This window comes from Homo sapiens, chromosome 3 (assembly GCF_000001405.40).
Source record: "Homo sapiens chromosome 3, GRCh38.p14 Primary Assembly".
Taxonomy (NCBI): Eukaryota; Metazoa; Chordata; class Mammalia; order Primates; family Hominidae; genus Homo; species Homo sapiens.
The window spans coordinates 63,684,574-63,703,538 of record NC_000003.12 but is presented as its reverse complement, the minus strand read 5'-3'; the positions used below and the strand labels follow the sequence as shown (position 1 = coordinate 63,703,538).

Here is an 18,965-nt window from a genome sequence, read left to right as displayed (position 1 = left end):
GGCAGAGGTTGCAGTGAGCTGAGATCACACCACTGCACTCCAGCCTGGGTGACAAAGTGAGACTCAGTCTCAAAAAATAAATAAATAAAATAAATAAATAAATAAATAAAAGTTTTGAGTGTCACTTTCAAACTTTTGAAAACTTTTTCTTTTGAATACAGTGAGTAGGCTCTATTATTGTTGTTGCAAAATAAACATAATGAATAAAATTTTCCATGGATATTCTAAGTTCCACGGTAGTCAGATCTTTTTGTATATTTTACCAGAACTTTGCACAGTGATCCAAATACATTATCTAGAAGTTGATTGATTATACTTTACAGATGGATTGCCACTGATCATCCCACTCAGAATGAAGGGACTCTTGCAGTTGCATTTAATTCTCAGAAAGAGAAGAAGCACCTATATAATTTGAAATTTGCATGTATCTCATTTTTTCCTGATTTTTCTGAGCCACCATAAAAAACCTGTAAGGCTAATAATCTTCAGCACAATGTGCCCAAATTAGAGGGTCTCCTGAAGGGATTCCTGTATAAACACATTATTATGGGAAACCTTGGTGATGTCTCTTAGAGTCCTCCATAAACATCCCTCTTTTCAGTAGCTGGTTTCACTGTCCTGGACACTGAATCTGATTGTCATATTTGTCGGTATTAAGTTGTTCACAATATTCTTTAATTTTTCTTAATTTCTTTAATTTTTCTTTTAATATCTATAGAATTTATGATCTTTTAATATCTATAGAATCTTGTTCACTTCTGATGTTGGTGATTTGTGTATTCTCTTTTACCCATGATTAGACTTGCTATGGGCTTGTCAATTTTGTTAATATTTTTGAAGAACCAACTTTTGGCTGTGTTAATTTTCTATGTTTTTTGTTAGTTTTCTTTTTCATTGATTTCTGCTTTTATTTCTATTTCTTTTCTACTTCCTTTGTTTTACTTTGTGTTTTCCTCTTTCTCTAGCTTATAAAGGTGGAAGTTTAAGCAATCAATTTCATAGTATTTCTTCTTTTCTCATATAAGCATTTGAAGAAGCTCATTTCTTTATAATCATTGTCTTCACTGCATCTAACACATTGTTATGTTGTATTTTTATTCCCAATTCAGTTTAAAATATTTTCTGATTTCTCTTGTGATTTCTTTTTTTGACCAATGAATTATTTAGAAGTATGTTATCTAATTTCCAAATATATCTATTGGCTTCTAGTTTAATTTTGTTGTAGTCAGAGAACACGGATTCAATGATTTTAAATTTATTGAAACTTTCTATGGTTCGGAATACATTCTATCTTGATAAATGTATGATAGGCTCTTGAAAAGAATGTGTATTGTGTCATTTTGGGATGTAATTTGTATAAATAGTATAAATATCAATTAGGCCAAAGAGTTTGGTGATGTTATACAGATCATCCATGTCTTTAATGATCTTTTGACTAGTTGTTCATCAATTGCTGAGAGAGAAGCGTGAACACCTTCTACCATTATTGCAGAACTGTTGATGTCTACACTTGGTTCTGTCATTTTTTTTTGTTTCACAGTAAGCATTTGTTTCTCATGTTTCTGCAGGCTGGCTAGGATGATTTTACTGATCTCAAATGAACTTGCTTAAGTACCTATGCAGAGTCCAGGGTTCATCTAGTCATGGCTAAGCTCATCTTGACTTGGCTGGGTGGCTCTGCTTTAAGCTGCAAGTCTGCTGGTTAGCCAGATATTTCTCCTCTATGTGTCCCTTACTATATTTGGACCAATGGCCAGCCAGGTCATATTCTTCTCATGGATAAGGCTGAGACACAAGAAAGCAAGCAGAAATCTGCTATGACTCTAAAGACTTAGGGTTGGAATTGGCACTCTATCTCTTTCACTTTCAAGTCATTGGTCCAACTAAGTCATTTGGCCGAAGTCAAGATGTGGAGAAATACACTCAGCTCACACCAAGACCATAGAAAAAGCATGCTTGCAGGGGTTCTGTCACTTTTTTTACTTCATTTTTTTTGATACTCTATTGTTAATATGTTTATGTTAACATATTTATGATTGTTATATCTTCCTAATGCATTGATTATTTGATCCTTATGAAGATTTTTATTTCTGTAATACTCTTTTGTCTTGAAGTCTATTTTATCTGATATGGCTACTCTAGTCTCCTTATGTGACTGAGCATTGTATATATTTTTCCATTCATATACTTTTAAGCTATATGTGTCTTTCTATTTAAAGTGTATCTCTCGTAGGCAACATACAGTTGGGTTCTACATTTGTATTCATTCTGATAATCTCTGCCATTTATTTATTTATTTTTATAATGTCAACTTTTATTTTAGACTCAGGGGTACATTTGCACGTTTGTTACATGGGTACATTGTGTGTTACTGAGGTTTGGGCTATGATTGATCCTATCACCCAGGTAGTGAGCATAGTATCCATTGGTTAGTGTATCAACCCTTATCCCTTCCCTCCCTTCCCCCTCTAATAGTCCCCACTGTCTATTGTTGCCATCTTTATGTCCATGAGTACCCAATATTTAGCTCCCCCTTATAAGTGAGAATGTGTGGTATTTGGTTTTCCATTCATGTATTAAGTTGCTTAGGATAATGGCCTCCAGCTGCATCCATGTTGCTTCAAAAAACATGAGTTTATTCTTTTTATGGCTGCATAGCATTCCATGATGTATATGCACCATATTTTCTTTATTCAATCCACTGATGATGAGCACTTAGGTTGATTCCATGCCTTTGCTATTGTGAATAGTGCTGAGATCAACATATGAGTGCCTGTATCTTTGGTAAAACAATTTATTTTCCTCTTGGTGTATACTCAGTAATGGGATTGCTGGATTGAATAGTAGTTCTCTTTCAAGTTCTTTGCAACTCTGCCTTTTAATTGTAATGTTTAGGTTACTAGCACACACACATATATATATGTAAAGAGCTCAGCATGGGCTAGGTATAGAATAAGAGTTCAATAAATCTCAGCACTTATATTTCTTATTAAAAATTTCACTGAGCTTTGATAACTGTATCAGTAAAACAGGACTAATGACACCTACTCCTTAGGAGATGTAATGGAATGTTAATAAAAGTATGTAAACTCCTGACAAGTAAAAAGGGCCAATATAGTTGAATATCTTTTAAAAAATGTATTTGTTCCAAGTGTCTTTTTTTTTAATACTTGAAGTTCGAGGGTACATGTGCACAATGTGCAGGTTTGTTACATACGTATACATGTGCCATGTTGGTTTGCTGCACCCATTAACTCGTCGTTTACATTAGGTATTTCTCCTAATGCTGTCCTTCCCCCTGGCCCCCACCCCAGGACAGGCCCCAGGGTGTGATGTTCCCCGCCCTGTGTCCAAGTGTTCTCATTGTCCAATTCCCACCTATGAGTGAGAACATGTGGTGTTTGGTTTTCTGTCCTTGTGATAGTTTGCTCAGAATGATGGTTTCCAGTTGCATCCATGTCCCTGCAAAGGACATGAACTCACCCCTTTTTATGGCTGCATAGTATTCAATCATGGTGTATGTATGCCACATTTTCTTAATCTACTCTATCATTGATGGACATTTGGGTTGATTCCAAGTTTTTGCTGTTGTGAGTAGTGCCGCAATAAACATACGTGTGCGTGTGTCTTTATAGTAGCATGAATTATAATCCTTTGGATATATACTCAGTAATGGGATTGCTGGGACAAATGGTATTTCTAGTTCTAGATCCTTGAGGAATCACCACACTGTCTTCCACAATCGTTGAACTACTTTACACGCCCACCAAAAGGGTAAAAGCGTTCCTATTTCTTCACATCCTCTCCAGCATCTGTTGTTTCCTGACTTTTTTATGATTGCCATTCTAACTGGTATGAGATGGTATCTCATTGTGGTTTTGATTTGCATTTCTCTGATGACCAGGGATGATGAGCTTATTTTCATGTGTCTGTTGGCTGCATAAATGTCTTCTTTTGAGAAGTGTCTGTTCATATCCTTTGCCCACTTTTTGATGGGGTTGTTTGTTTTTTTCTTGTAAATTTGTTTAAGTTCTTTGTAGATTCTGGATAGTAGCCCTTTGTCAGATGGGTAGATTGCAAAATTTTTCTCCCATTCTGTAGGTTGCCTATTCACTCTGATGGTAGTTTCTTTTGCTGTGCAGAAGCTCTCTAGTTTAATTAGATCCCATTTGTCTATTTTGGCTTTTGCTGCCATTGCTTTTGGTGTTTTAGACCTGAAGTCCTTGCCCATGCCTATGTCCTGAATGGTATTGCCTAGGTTTTCTTCTAGGCTTTTTATGATTTTAGGTCTAACATTTCAGTCTTAGTCCAACTTGCATTAATTTTTGTATAAGGTGTAAGGAAGGGATCCAGTTTCAGCTTTCTACATATGGCTAGCCAGTTTTCCCAGCACCACTTATTAAATAGGGAATCCTTTCTCCATTTCTTGTTTTTCTCAGGTTTGTCAAAGATCAGATGGTTGTAGATGTGTGGTGTTATTTCTGAGGCCTCTGTTCTGTTCCATTGGTCTATCTCTCTGTTTTGGTACCAGTACCATGCTGTTTTGGTTACTGTAGCCTTGTAGTATAGTTTGAAGTCAGGTAGCGTGATGCCTCCAGCTTTGTTCTTTTGGCTTAGGATTGTATTGAATATGTGGGCTCTCTTTTGGTTCCATATGAACTTTAAAGTAGTTTTTTCCAATTCTGTGAAGAAAGTAATTGGTAGCTTGATGGGGATGGCATTGAATCTATAAATTACCTTGGGCAGTATGGCCATTTTCATGATATTGATTCTTCCTATCCATGAGCATGGAATGTTCTTCCATTAGTTTGTGTCCTCTTTTATTTCGCTGAGCAGTGGTTTGTAGTTCTCCTTGAAGAGGTCTTTCACATCCATTATAAGTTGGATTCCTAGGTATTATCTTTGTAGCAATTGTGAATGGAGTTCACTCATGATTTGGCTCTCTGTCTGTTATTGGAATGCTTGTGAATTTTGCACATTGATTTTGTATCCTGAGACTTTGGTAAAGTTGCTTATCAACTTAAGGAGATTTTGGACTGAGACAATGGGGTTTTCTAAATATACAATCTTATCATCTGCAAACAGGGACAATTTGACTTCCTCTTTTCCTAATTGAATACCCTTTATTTCCTTCTCTTGCCTGATTGCCCTGGCCAGAACTTCCAACACTATGTTGAATAGGAGTGGTGAGAGAGGGCTTCCTGTCTTGTGCCAGTTTTCAAAGGGAGTGCTTCCAGTTTTTGCCCATTCAGTATGATATTGGCTGTGGGTTTGTCATAAATAGCTCTTATTATTTTGAGATATGTTCCATCAATACCTAGTTTATTGAGAGTTTTTAGCATGAAGGGCTGTTGAATTTTCTCAAAGGCCTTTTCTGTATCTATTGAGATAATCATGTGGTTTTTGTCTTTGGTTCTGTTTATGTGATGGATTACATTTATTGATTTGTGTATATTGAACCAGCCTTGCATCCCAGGGATGAAGCTGACTTGATTGTGGTGGATAAGCTTTTTGATGTGCTGCTGGATTCGTTTTGCCAGTATTTTATTGAGGATTTTTGCATCGATGTTTATCAGGGATATTGGTCTAAAATTATCTTTTTTTTGTTGTGTATCTGCCAGGCTTTGGTATCAGAATGATGCTGGCTTCATAAAATGAGTTAGGGACAATTCCCTCTTTTTCTATTGATTGGAATAGTTTCAGAAGGAATGGTACCAGCTCCTCTTTGTACCTCTGGTAGAATTTGACTGAATCCATCTGGTTCTGGGCTTTTTTTGGTTGGTAGGCTACTAATTATTGCCTCAATTTTAGAGCCTGTTATTGGACTATTCAGAGATTCAACTTCTTCCTGCTTTAGTCTTGGGATGGTGTATGTGTCCAGGAATTTATGCATTTCTTCTAGATTTTCTAGTTTATTTGTGTAGAGGTGTTTATAGTATTCTCTGATGGTAGTTTGTATTTCGGTGGGATCAGTGCCGATATCCCCTTTATCATTTTTTATTGCATCTATTTGATTTTTCTCTCTTTTCTTCTTTATTAGTCTTGCTAGCAGTCTATCAATTTTGTTGATCTTTTCAAAAAACCGGCTCCTGGATTCATTGATTTTTGAAGGGTTTTTTGTGTCTCTATTTCCTTCAGTTCTGCTCTGATCTTAGTTATTTCTTGTCTTCTGCTAGCTTTTGAATGTGTTTGCTCTTGCTTCTCTAGTTCTTTTAATAGTGATGTTAGGGTGTCAGTTTTAGATCTTTCCTGCTTTGTCTTGTGGGCATTTAGTGCTATAAATTTCCCTCTACACACTGCTTTAAATGTGTCCCAGAGATTCTGGTACATTGTGTCTTTGTTCTCATTGGTTCCAAAGAACATCTTTATTTCTGCCTTCATTTTGTTATGTACCCAGTAGTCATTCAGGAGCAGGTTGTTCAGTTTCCATGTAGTTGTGCGGTTTTGAGTGAGTTTCTTAATCCTGAGTTCTAATTTGATTGCACTGTGGTCTGAGAGACAGTTTGTTGTGATTTCTGTTCTTTTACATTTGCTGAGGAGTGCTTTACTTCCAACTATGTGGTCAATTTTGGAATAAGTGTGATGTGGTGCTGAGAAGAATGTATATTCTGTTGATTTGGGGTGGAGAGTTCTTTAGATGTCTATTAGGTCTGCTTGGTGCAGAGCTGAGTTCAAGTCCTGGATATCCTTATTAACCTTTTGTCTCATTGATCTGTCTAATATTGACGGTAGGGTGTTAAAGTCTCCTGTTATTATTGTGTGGGAGTCTAAGTCTCTTTGTTGGTCTCTAAGGACTTGCTTTACAAATCGGGGTGCTCCTGTATTGGGTGCATATATATGTAGGATAGTTAGCTCTTCTTGTTGAATTGATCCCTTTACCATTATGTAATGGCCTTCTTTGTCTCTTTTGATCTTTGTTGGTTTAAAGTCTGTTTTATCAGAGACCAAGATTGCAACCCCTACTTTTTTTTTGCTTTCCATTTGCCTTGTAGGTCTTCCTGCATCCCTTTATTTTGAGCCAATGTGTGTCTGTGCACATGGGATGGGTCTCCTGAATACAGCACACTGATGGGTCTGGACTCTTTTATCCAATTTGCCAGTCTGTGTCTTTTAATTGGGGCATTTAGCCTATTTACATTTAAGGTTAATATTGTTATGTGTGAATTTGATCCTGTCATTATGATGTTAGCTGGTTACTTCATCTGTTAGTTGATGCAGTTTCTTCTTAGCATTGATGGTCTTTACAATTTGGCATGTTTTTGCAGTGGCTAGTACCGGTTTTTCCTTTCCATGTTTAGTGCTTCCTTCAGGAGCTCTTGTAAGGCAGGCCTGGTGGTGACATAATCTCTCAGCATTTACTTGTCTGTAAAGATTTTATTTCTCCTTCACTTATGAAGCTTAGTTTGGCTGGATATGAAATTCTGGGTTGAAAATTCTTTTCTTTAAGAATGTTGAATATTGGCCCCCATTCTATTCTGGCTTATAGAGTTCCTGCCAAGAGATCTGATATTAGTCTGATGGGCTTCCCTTCGTGGGTAACTCGATCTTTCTCTCTGGCTGCCCTTAACATTTTTTCCTTCATTGCAACCTTGGTGAATAGACAATTATGTGTCTTGGGTTGCTCTTCTGGAGGAGTATCTTTGTGGTGTTCTCTGTATTTCCTGAATTTGAATGTTAGCCTGCCTTGCTAGGTTGGGGAAGTTCTCCTGGATAATATCCTGCAGAGTGTTTTCCAGCTTGGTTCAATTCTCCCCGTCACTTTCAGGTACACCATTCAGACATAGATTTGGTCTTTTCACATAGTCCCATATTTCTTGGAGGCTTTGTTTGTTTCTTTTTACTCTTTTTTCTCTAAACTTCTCTTCTTGCTTTATTTCATTAATCTGATCTTCAATCACTGATACTCTTTCTTCCACTTGATCGAATCAGCTATTGAAGCTTGTGCATGTGTCATGTAGTTCTCATGCCATGGTTTTCAGCTCCATCAAGTCATTTAAAGTCTTCTCCACACTGTTTATTCTAGTTAGCCATTCGTCAAATCTTTTTTTTGTTTGTTTGTTTGAGACAGAGTCTCACTGTGTCGCCCAGGCTGGAGTGCAGTGGTGCGATCTCTGCTCACTGCAAACTCCACCTCCCGGGTTCACCCCATTCTCCTGCCTTAGCCTCCTGAGTAGCTGGGACTACAGGCGCCCGCCACCACACCTGGCTAATTTTTTCTATTTATTAGTAGAGACGGGGTTTCACCGTGTTAGCCAGGATGGTCTCAATCTCCTTACCTCGTGATCCGCCCGCCTCGGCCTTCCAAAGTGCTGGGATTACAGGCATGAGCCACTGTGCCCGGCCTCATCTAATCTTTTTTCAAGGTTTTTAGCTTCCTTGCAATGGGTTCAAACATTCTCCTTTAGCTCGGAGAAGTTAGTTATTACCGACCTTCTGAAGCCTACTTCTGTCAGCTCGTCAAAGCCATTCCCCATCCAGCTTTGTTCCATTGCTGGCGAGGAGCTGCAATCCTTTGGAGGAGAAGAGACACTCTGGTTTTTAGAATTTTTGACTTTTCTGCTCTGGTTTCTCCCCATCTTTGTTGTTTTATCTACCTTTGGTCTTTGATGATGGTGACCTACAGATAGGGTTTTGGTGTGGATGTCCTTTTTGTTGATATTGATGCTATTCCTTTCTGTTTGTTAGTTTTCCTTCTAACAATCAGGTCCCTCAGCTGCAGGTCTGTTGGAGTTTGCTGGAGGTCCACTCCAGACCCTTTTTGCCTCAGTATCACCAGCAGAAGCTGCAGAGCAGCAAATATTGCAGAACAGCAAATATTGCTGGCTGATCCTTCCTCTGGAAGCTTCGTCCCAGAGGGGCACCCACCTGTATGAGGTGTCAGTCAGCCCCTACTGGGAGGTGTCTCCCACTTAGGCTACACGGGGGTCAGGGACCCACTTGAAGAGGCAGTCTGTCCGTTCTCAGAGCTCAAACACCAAGCTGGGAGAACCACTGCTCTCTTCAGAGCTGTCAGACAGGGACTTTTAAGTCGGCAGAAGTTTCTGCTGCCTTTTGTTCAGCTATGCCCTGCCCCCAGAGGTGGGGTGTACAGAGGCAGCAGGCCTTGCAGAGCTGTAGTGGGCTCCACCGAGTTTGAGCTTCCCTGGCTGCTTTGTTTACCTACTCAAGCCTCAGCAATGGCAGATGCCCCTCCCCCAGCCAGGCTGCTGCCTCGCAGGTTGATCTTGGACTGCTGGGCTAGCAGTGAGCAAGGCTCCATGGGTGTGGGACCCACCGAGCCAGGTGCGGGATATAATCTCCTGGTGTGCCATTTGCTAAGACTGTTGGAAAAGTGCTGTGTTTGGGTGGGAGTGTCCCAATTTTCCAGGTACAGTCTGTCATGGTTTCCCTTGGCTAGGAAAGGGAAATCCCCTGACCCCTTGCACTTCCCAGGTGAGATGATGCCCTACCCTGCTTTGGCTCACTCTCCATGGCCTGCACCCACTGTCCAACCAGTCCCAGTGAGATGAACTAGGTACCTCAGTTGAAAATGCAGAAATCACCATCTTCTGCATCAATCACACCGGGAGCTGCAGAGTGGAGCTGTTCCTATTTGGCCATCTTGGAACGGGACCCAAGTGTCTTTTTTAAAAATGTATTTATTTATTTTAAATTGTATAAAATATACATATCAAATTTATCATTTTAGCCATCTAATATTCAGTGGCACTAAACATATTCACATTGTTGTGCAACCATCACCGCCATCCATCTTCAGAACTTTTGTAAACTCCTGAAAAATCTTCAGAAATGTCAGAAATTAGAGATAAAGAAATAAACAAAAAGTTTCCATAACTTTAAACAACTCCTCATTCTCACCTTCCCAGCCCTATCATTTTGCTTTCTGTCTCTATGAATTGACTACTCTAGGTTCCTTATATGAGTAGAATCATTCAGTATTTGCCCTTTTGTGACTAACTTATTTCACTTAGCATAATGTCTTCAGGTTTAATTCATGTTGTAGCATGTGTCAGAATTTCCTTCCCTTTTAAGGCTGAATAATATGTTATTGTGTGTATATGCCACATTTTGTTTATTCATTCACCTATTAATGGACATGGATTGCTTCCACCTCTTGGCTGTTATGTATAGTACTGCTATAAACATGGGTGTTCAAATGTGTCCCTGCTTTCAATTATTTTGAATATATATCCAAAAGTGAAATTACTGGATCATATGGTAATCTTTTTTAAATTTTTTGAGGAGCCACACGTTATTTTCTAAAGCAGTTCCACTATTTTGTATTCTCATCAGAGTGTGCAAAGTTTCCAACTTCTTACATCTTTACCAATACTTGTTATTTTCTGTTTTGATAATATCCATCCTAGGGGGTGTGAAATGTTATCTCTTTTGATTTGCTTATCTTTGAATCAAGTTGTTTGTTTGTTTTGTTATTGTTGAATTTTAGGAGTTCTCTACATATCATGGATACTAATCCATTATCAGATATGTGATTGGCAAATATTTTCTTCTATACTGTGGGTTGCCTTTCTACTCAGTTGATAATATCCTTTGAAGCATGAAAGTAGACAGACCACTAGCATTTAATGTACTTATTATATGATTAGCTTTAGGTCTATAATTACAATTTTAATTTCCTGTGTTTCCTCTTTGCTTTTCATTCCTATGTTCCCCTTTTTCTGCCTTCTTTTGAATATCTGAATATTTTTTAGAATTCTGTTATAATTTACCTACTTGTTTTCTGGCTATACCTCTTTGCATTTTTTAGCGATTAATCTAGGGATTAAAATATATATTCTTTACTTTCACAATCTATTTACAGTTAATGTTATATCAATTTATGTAACATGTAGAAATCTTTTAATTATATAGCTCCCTTTACTTTTCCCCCACTATCTGGTAAGCTGTAATTGTCATATTGATTACATCTCCATACATTATGACCACCACATAATGTGTGTATATTGTTTTTTTCTTTAAACGGTCATTTATAATTTAAAGAAATTTAGAGAAAATAGCCATTTATTGTTTTTGATGCTCTTCATTATTTCTTGAAGCTCTGTTTCATATTGATATTACTTCTCTCCATCCCGAAGAACTTCTTTAGCATTTTTTGTAGTACAAGTCTGTTAGCAGTGAATTCTGTTATTATTTTTTAAATCTGAAGACATATTTTTTTCCTTCATTCTAGAAGGATATTTTTGCTGAAACAGAATTCTGGGATTTTAGTGTTTTTCTTTCAGCCTTTTAAAACGTTCCACTCATTTTTGTCCTCCACAGTTTCTGATGAGAGTCTTTTGAGTCTTGCCTTTCAGTCCCTCTGTATGTAATATATTGTTTTTCTCTGCCATTCAAATAATTTTCCTATATTTATTGTGTCATTTTAATCTTACTGATTCACATTTTTTTCTTTTTTCTTTTTTCCCTTTCCAATATCTTCACTAGGATGTCCCTGGGTGTGGTTTTCCTTGTATATATCCTGTTTGGAGTTTGATGCTTTTTGACTTTGTAAATTTATATATTCACTATTTGGGAGGTCATTTTGGTTAATATTCCCTTAAATAACTTTTGTGGCTCATTTTCTCTGCCCTCTCTAACTGGGACTCCAGTGACATATGTTAGAGTTTTTGATGTTGTGTCACAGGCTTAATGTTTGATGTTGCCCCTGAGGCTCTGTTTATTTTTCTCTCTTTTATTTAGGTTGAATAACTTGTATTGATCTATCTTCAAGCTCACTGAGCCTTTCTTTGTTCATGTCTATGCTGTTGATAATATTAAGCCTATTCCCAGTGATTTTTTTCAGATATTATATGTTTTCTTTCTAGAATTTTCATTTAGTTCTTTTTTATTGTTCTTATTTTCTGCTGACATTTTCTTTTTGATTCATTTTGCATATATTTTCCTTTATTTTCTTTAGCATAGTCGTAATAGCTGTTTTAAGTCTTTGTCTGATAATTCCAGCATCTAGGCAATCTCAAAGTTGACCTCTGTTGATTACATTTTCCTTGATAATATATCACTATATCCTGACTTGTTACGTGTTGTGTAACTTGGGATTGTATGCTAAACATTGTGAATACAGTACTTTGGCAATTCTGGGTTCTGCTATATTCTTCTGAAGAGGGTTGCTGTTGTTTTTGTAAGCAATTAACTTGGTTAGATTCAAACCACAAATTCTCTCTATCCTGTTGTGGATGTGAGAATTTCAAGTTGAACTTCATTTCTTTTAGCTTTCTCTGAAAACTGCTTTGTGTTTGCCCCATGTGTGCATGACTTATTGGTTTCCCAGAGACTTGGGTAGAGTTTGAAAACAGAATCTGGGACTCCCTTTCTTTGGATTTCTCTTTTACAACGTTAGTCTCTCATTTTCCATAAGCTATGGTTGCCCTGAGTTCTGTCATCTGGTTCTTCAGGCCAGAGAAACAATGAGTTTTCTGTTGAAGTTTTGACCACTTTAAGCCAGCAATGACTACAGTCAGCTCACAGGATAGACCCATAAAAATAAGAATCTCACTCTACATCATTCTTCTAGGTTTTGACTTCCTTCCAAAATCTTCCTATTTTGCTCATTCTATACAGCTTTGGGTAGTTGTTTTTGTATTTTTCCCAGAGCTTACAGTTGTTATGTGAGTGTTCAGTTTGTTAGGAGCTTACACTGCCATGCCAGAAGTGGAATTCCAAGTAACTCACCATGATCCCTAACTTCAGAGGTTGTTGATCTGAGAATATATTATCTCATGGTTTGTTCATCCCTATTTTGATTATTTCACAGGGATAAGAGAGAGAGGATGTCAAACTGGCCCTTTAGGGTGTCAGTGGTAAGAAAATAATTGGCAGTGGAAGAAGTGGGGAATGGGGGTGTTAGCTATTTGCCTAAGTAAAATTTGTGTATTATGTATGGATTTCACTTTTCACATACTGGTTGGTCACCTGACACAATTCTGAGAGTTATGCAGGAGGCACCCCTGACTGTCATCTGTTAGCCACAAATAAATCAGAATTGAGCTGCACCAAACATAGACACACCTGATTATAAACAGGATGATTTTTGTAAAGTACACAGAAAGTTCCTACTGATCTCAAACATCTTCCTACATCTAGGCTTGTGAGTGATGTCACACATCTACCATCAGAATAGAGGTTTTTGGCCTGTCGGCCTCCATAATTGTAACAAGACTTTTTGGTTTTGTGCATTTCTTTTTGGGAAGGTAGTCCAGAGTGCTTGTTAGTGCCTCAAAGGTATTTGGGAATGCTCCCCTAAAAAAATTATTTATTATTTGATAAGTGATTAAAAACTAAAGTATCATCACCTTTTATTTGAATTCAAATTTCCTGGAAATATATATCTTGAAACTGTATTAGCTATTCAATAATGAGACTTAACAAGATACTTTTAAAGTGATGTCTGTGAAGCTGCTGGTTTGTATAAGTTCTTCAACACAAGTTTACATTCTTCATTTCTTTTTTATTTTATTTTATTTTATTTTATTTTGTTATTATTATACTTTAAGTTTTAGGGTACATGTGCACAATATGCAGGTTAGTTACATATGTATACATGTGCCATGCTGGTGTGCTGCACCCATTAACTCTTCATTTAGCATTAGGTATATCTCCTAATGCTATCCCTCCCCCCTCCCCTCACCCAACAACAGTCCAAGCCCTGAAGATCCCTAGGAGACACAGGGCAGGAAAATGCTCAGGCATTAGTATCTAAAAGATCTGTGTTCGATTCCAGGCAAATTACTTACTAGCTGTGTTACTTCAGAAAAATTACTGAACCTTTTTGTAACTCGATTTCTTTTTCCTTATAAAAACAGTTATTTATTTATTGTTAGTAATAACACTTGTTTATTATAGAACATTTAGAACAATCTGAAAAGAATTAGAAAGAAAAAAATCAATTGTAGTCCTGAAACCTAGTGATAATTACTACTATCATTTTGTATATTGAGAGACTGAATATACAAATGAACAATGGTGCAATCAGATATAAAAATAGAACTCTGACCCAAAACCTAACAGCAACCAGTTCAAGAAGCTAAACCACAGCCTTTGCAGTAATTGGTCCCAGACTGTCAGGACATGGTCAACGACTGTCAGCTTCCCAATTTGCATCTCTGTTTCCCACTTAGGACAAACCAGAGAAAGCCAAATATGTTCCCCTAACCAGTCACATAGGATGTCCTGCTTCTGGTCAGCCCCATCAAGCTTCCTTGTGCCAACAGCCTCCAATAAAGGCACACCTGAAGCCTTCCCTTTTTTTTCACTGTAAAGTGTTCCCATTCCTCTGCCCGCCTTTCATCCTTTGTCAAATGCAAGTGATGGTGGCTGACTCCCTTGTATAGCAGGCTCTGAATAAATAGACTTTGCTTGTTCTCATTTGGGTGATCTTCAGTTATTTCCATAGTATTATTCTCCATAATTTTGTGTCTAGGGCTATTTATTCATCCTATATATCTTCTATGGATATGTTATTATTATTATTATTAATTTTAGACAGAGTCTTGCTCTGTCGCCAAGGCTGGATCTTGGCTCACTCCAACCTCTACCTCCTGGGTTCAAGTGATCATCCCGCCTCAGCCTCTGGAGTAGCTGGGATTACAGGCATGCACCACCATGCATGGCTAATTATTTTTGTATTTTTAGTAGAGATAGTAGAGATAGGGTTTTGCTGTGTTGGCCAGGCTGGTCTCAAACTTCTGGGCTCAAGTAATCTGCCCACCTTGACCTCCCAAACTGCTGGGATTACAGTTGTGAGCCACTGCGCCTGGCCTGGATATGTTATATTGTGCAGTTTTGCCTTCTGTTTTCTTTCTCTTAGCGATATGCCAAGGTGAACATGTCATGAAATGTCTTTCAAAAATGTGACTTTAGGCTGGGCACAGTGGTTCAAGCCTGTAATCCCAGCACTTTGGGAGGCTGAGGCAGGCAGATCACCTGAGGTCAGGAGTTTGGGGCCAGCCTGGCCAACATGGTGAAACCCCGTCTCTACTAAAAATACAAGAACAACAAAAAAATGTTATTTTAAACAGCTGCATAATAATCCATCTTATGCACATGTTCTTATTTAGTGAAGCTTGATCTGTCGTTTGGCCTTTTAGCCTCTCTTTGCTCATCCATAAAATGCACAGGCTAATATTAATACTACAGGATAGTTGTGAGAATAAGATAAATCAAATTTGCATAGTTTGTAGCAGAATTCCAGACACATGACAGATACTCCATAAATATTATTTCCCCTGTCAATGAAACACTCAAGATGCTTCATCCGAAGGCTCCATCCCTTCTTGCTCTCTCACCCCTCCCCATAGACGATGGGTGCCTTAGCAGACTCCTAGTCTTCCCCACTGGGGTCAAAATAATTCCAGTGCCCAGAGAAGCAATCTGGAAGTCAGAGATCAGATTTCTTAGCTTTTTTCATGGCTAAGAGCTACACAAACTGAGAACTTGGTGATGAGTAAACAAAACCCCAGTAGGGTATTTTCTTGTTGACATGGCAACCTGATCACGAACTGTCTAGGCAGTGCTGTCAGACTGTGCATTTGGGAGACTTTCCCACTAGTACCGGATGAACAATTCTCAGCTGGCGAGGTAGGTGAAGGATGTATAAAAGCACTTGTTCTACAGGCTTCTACAACCAGCCCCTCAGCCAAGCCAAAGTCCCCCTTTGAAGCAGGGTTTAGGGTACACTCTTTATTATCCTCCTACAGCCAGAGCAGCTGCTTAACTAAAGGATGTCAATAATATCTGCTTGAAGACCTTTTGTCTTGAATTTTCTGCCTGGCTGGCTTTCAAAGGCTTTCCCAACCCATGCTCAGCCCACTGTTTGAAGGCACATTCTGCAAGTAGAGCCACAGGAAGACACAATAGGTGAGAAACAGCCAGTTGTCAAAAACACAAGCAATTGAAAGACAGAAATCACTTCCGAAGGAGCAACTTACTGCCCTGGGGTCTGAAGCAATTAGATTCACCCCATTCATTATTCCTCCAACTTTAGCAAAAGGGTCTGATTTCTTCCCTGGAAGTCCGGACAGCTGTCTCAGGGTAGCTCTGTATAGCGGTGCAGGTTATGCACTGCACAAAGCTGCCCGACAGAGGAGTCAAATAGGGACTGAGGTCCTGTCTGTACATCACTCACCACTGTGGCATGTGATCTTGTCCTCCCAAAGTGTACGCCTTTCCTGATTAAAAAAGGCCCTGCTGAGGCTGTGTTACTATATCAAACTCTTTTGGAGGGGAGAGCATGGGCAAGGAGCACAGGAGAAGAGGAGAACTTTTTTGCCTGGGCCTCACATTTCTAGCAGGCCTCAAATTTAGACTTTTCTCATGAAGTCAAATTGAATTTATAAATGTAATCACAGAATCGAACCAACAGGATTGAACAAATGAAATTGCTCGCAATATTTATAAAATGATTTTAGGATGTTTGCATTTGCTAGTACCACAGAAATCTCTAGAGTTTTTCACCTCTAGATGCTAAAGGTGCTTGGATTACTCTGAAAGCCCTTACTCTGCTCCCTGGGCCTAGTGTTCCAGCCCTGGATCAATCCTCGGGGGTGGGTAGGGTGGGTGTGGTGAGACTTTGGTTCAGTCACCTTGCATTTTGGGAACTTTTACATGTTTACTCTTGCTGCTCTGCCTTTGACGCTTAGAATCAATATTATGCACAGTACTTTACTGTGTAATAGAACAATCTGTTGAGGTGATAATTTGGGCTTTTTCCTTCAAGCACTTTCCCCTGACCTTCTGCACTTGCCAGGAATGAGTTAGGGGAGGTGTGTATCTTAAACCAAGGATAGGAGTTGTGGGCAAAGGCACTTGCCTTCCCGAAGACCATACCAGTTTCATAATGACAAATACTTTGTCTCATTTACTCCTGAACCTTTGTTACCTGGCGCTTAATAGGTTGGGTGATCAATGCTCTTGGTTTGCTTAGGACTTTCCAATTTCAATACTTAGAAATCCCACATCCCATGAAACTCCTTAATCCGAGGCAATCTGGGATGATGGACAGTCACCTTATAAGGATTTGTTAACCGAATGAATGAATGATGAATAAATGGCCTTTATTTTCAAAAAGTCCACACTCATGAAACAAACTATGTTAAGCTTTTTGAAGATGAGAAGAGGATAGAGCAGTTTGGCCATCTCTGGGATGTGTGCCAAATCTGGCCCATTGCCTATTTTTTTAATGGTCTGAACATTAGAATTGGTTTTAAAACAATGACATGAAGAGGCCGGGTATAGTGGCTCATGCCTGTAATCCCAGCACTCTGGGAGGCTGAGGTGGGTGGATCACTTGAGGTCCAGAGTTTGAGACCAGCCTGGCCAATATGCTGAAGCCCTGTCTCTACTAAAAATACAAAAATTGGCCGGGCATGGTGGCAGGCGCCTGTAATTACAGCTACTCGGGAGGCTGAGGCAGGAGAATCACTTGAACCTGGGAGGCAGAGGTTGCAGTGAACTGAGATTGGGCCACTGCACTCCAGCCTGGGCTACAGAGCGAGACTTCATCTCAAAAAAGAAAAAAAAATGTAAATAATATTATTTTGTGACACATGCACATTTTACAAAAATAGATTTCTGGGGTTCATGAATATAGTGTCATTGGAATGTAGCATGCTCGTTCATTTATGAGTTGTCTATGGCTGCTTTAGCACTACAGCAACAGAGCTGAGTAGCTGTGAAAGAGATAGTGAGGCCTGTGATGCCCCAGCATATTTGCTACCTGGTCCTTTACAGAAAAAGTTTGCAGACGCCTGGGATGGAAGGAGCTCTGTGGACTCCAAGAGAGATCAGAGGTGGAAGGTGAGAGATGGCAGGACCTTCACATTGCGTAGCTGGCAGTACCTCTCAGAGCACCAAGACATCAAACAGTGACTGGACTCAAGACACAGAGCTGTCTGCCTCAGCAAGGTTTCTGCACCCACCAAAGCTGAGAGCTTCTTAGAGTGGGGAGGTGCCACTGTCAGCTGTGACAAAGAGGAAGTTGGCCATGATGGAGGATAGGGGCTGAAGGATGGAAAGTCCTAGATTCTAAAATGACTCAGAGAGATAGGTGCTCAATGGTGACTAAGATGAAATTTCTGCCCACCGTGGTGGGAATAAGCCTTGGAAACTGATTTAAACTGAGCTTCATGAAAACAAAGAAATAGTGATTTCTTACACATCTGAGTGTGTGGCTAAGCCTGGTCACTACAAGTTGTCTAGAGGATTCTGTTGTTGTAAAACTATAGAAGCACAGAATCTGAGCATGTACGGAACCTAAGAAGTGATCTAAACCAAGGCATGAAGGATGAGAACCATGAGCCTGGCAGTTTATTACAGGCCAAGAAAGGAACATTTTCAAAGTCCATAGGCTTGTCTTTGTCCCTGCCCCCAAACTGGTGCAAACCTGGCATATAGTTGGTGCTAAATAAATGCTTAATAAGTGAATAGGCAAATGTTTTCTTTCTCCCTTATAGTAGTCCTCAGAACCTGTTATAATCTGACATGGATCATTTGTAGTTTAATACGAATTTAAGGAAATTGCTATCACACCCAGATGTTTATAGTAAAGCCTTATCTATAACAGTAAAATGAAAGCATATTCTTCAACTGAAGGTATTTAAACGTTAGCAAATTAGTTGGGGAAACTGGAGACCCAGGCTCTTCCAAGGTTCTTGAAATCAGCACCCCAGTAATAATGCTAACAGCTGTTGTGCGTCTATTATGTGTCAGGTTTTAAGAAAACCACACTTTGTGGGCCGGGCGCGGTGCCTCACGCCTGTAATCCCAGCACTTTGGGAGGCTGAGGTGGTCGGATCACAAGGTCAGCAGATCGAGACCATCCTGGCTAACACAGTGAAACCACATCTCTACTAAAAAAAAAAATAGCAAAAATATTAACTGGGCATGGTGGCGGACGCCTGTAGTCCCAGCTACTAGGGAGGGTGAGGCAGGAGAATGTCATGAACCCAGGA

At 39.1% G+C, this 18,965-nt stretch overlaps 1 annotated feature.

Moving 5' to 3' along the window:
• Nucleotides 14,429–16,387: an enhancer, noted in NCBI's record as "VISTA enhancer hs1387". NCBI's record gives its function as "enhancer in: neural tube[9/11] | hindbrain (rhombencephalon)[9/11] | midbrain (mesencephalon)[5/11] | tail[9/11]" and the evidence as "EXISTENCE:transgenic organism evidence [ECO:0001131][PMID:17130149]".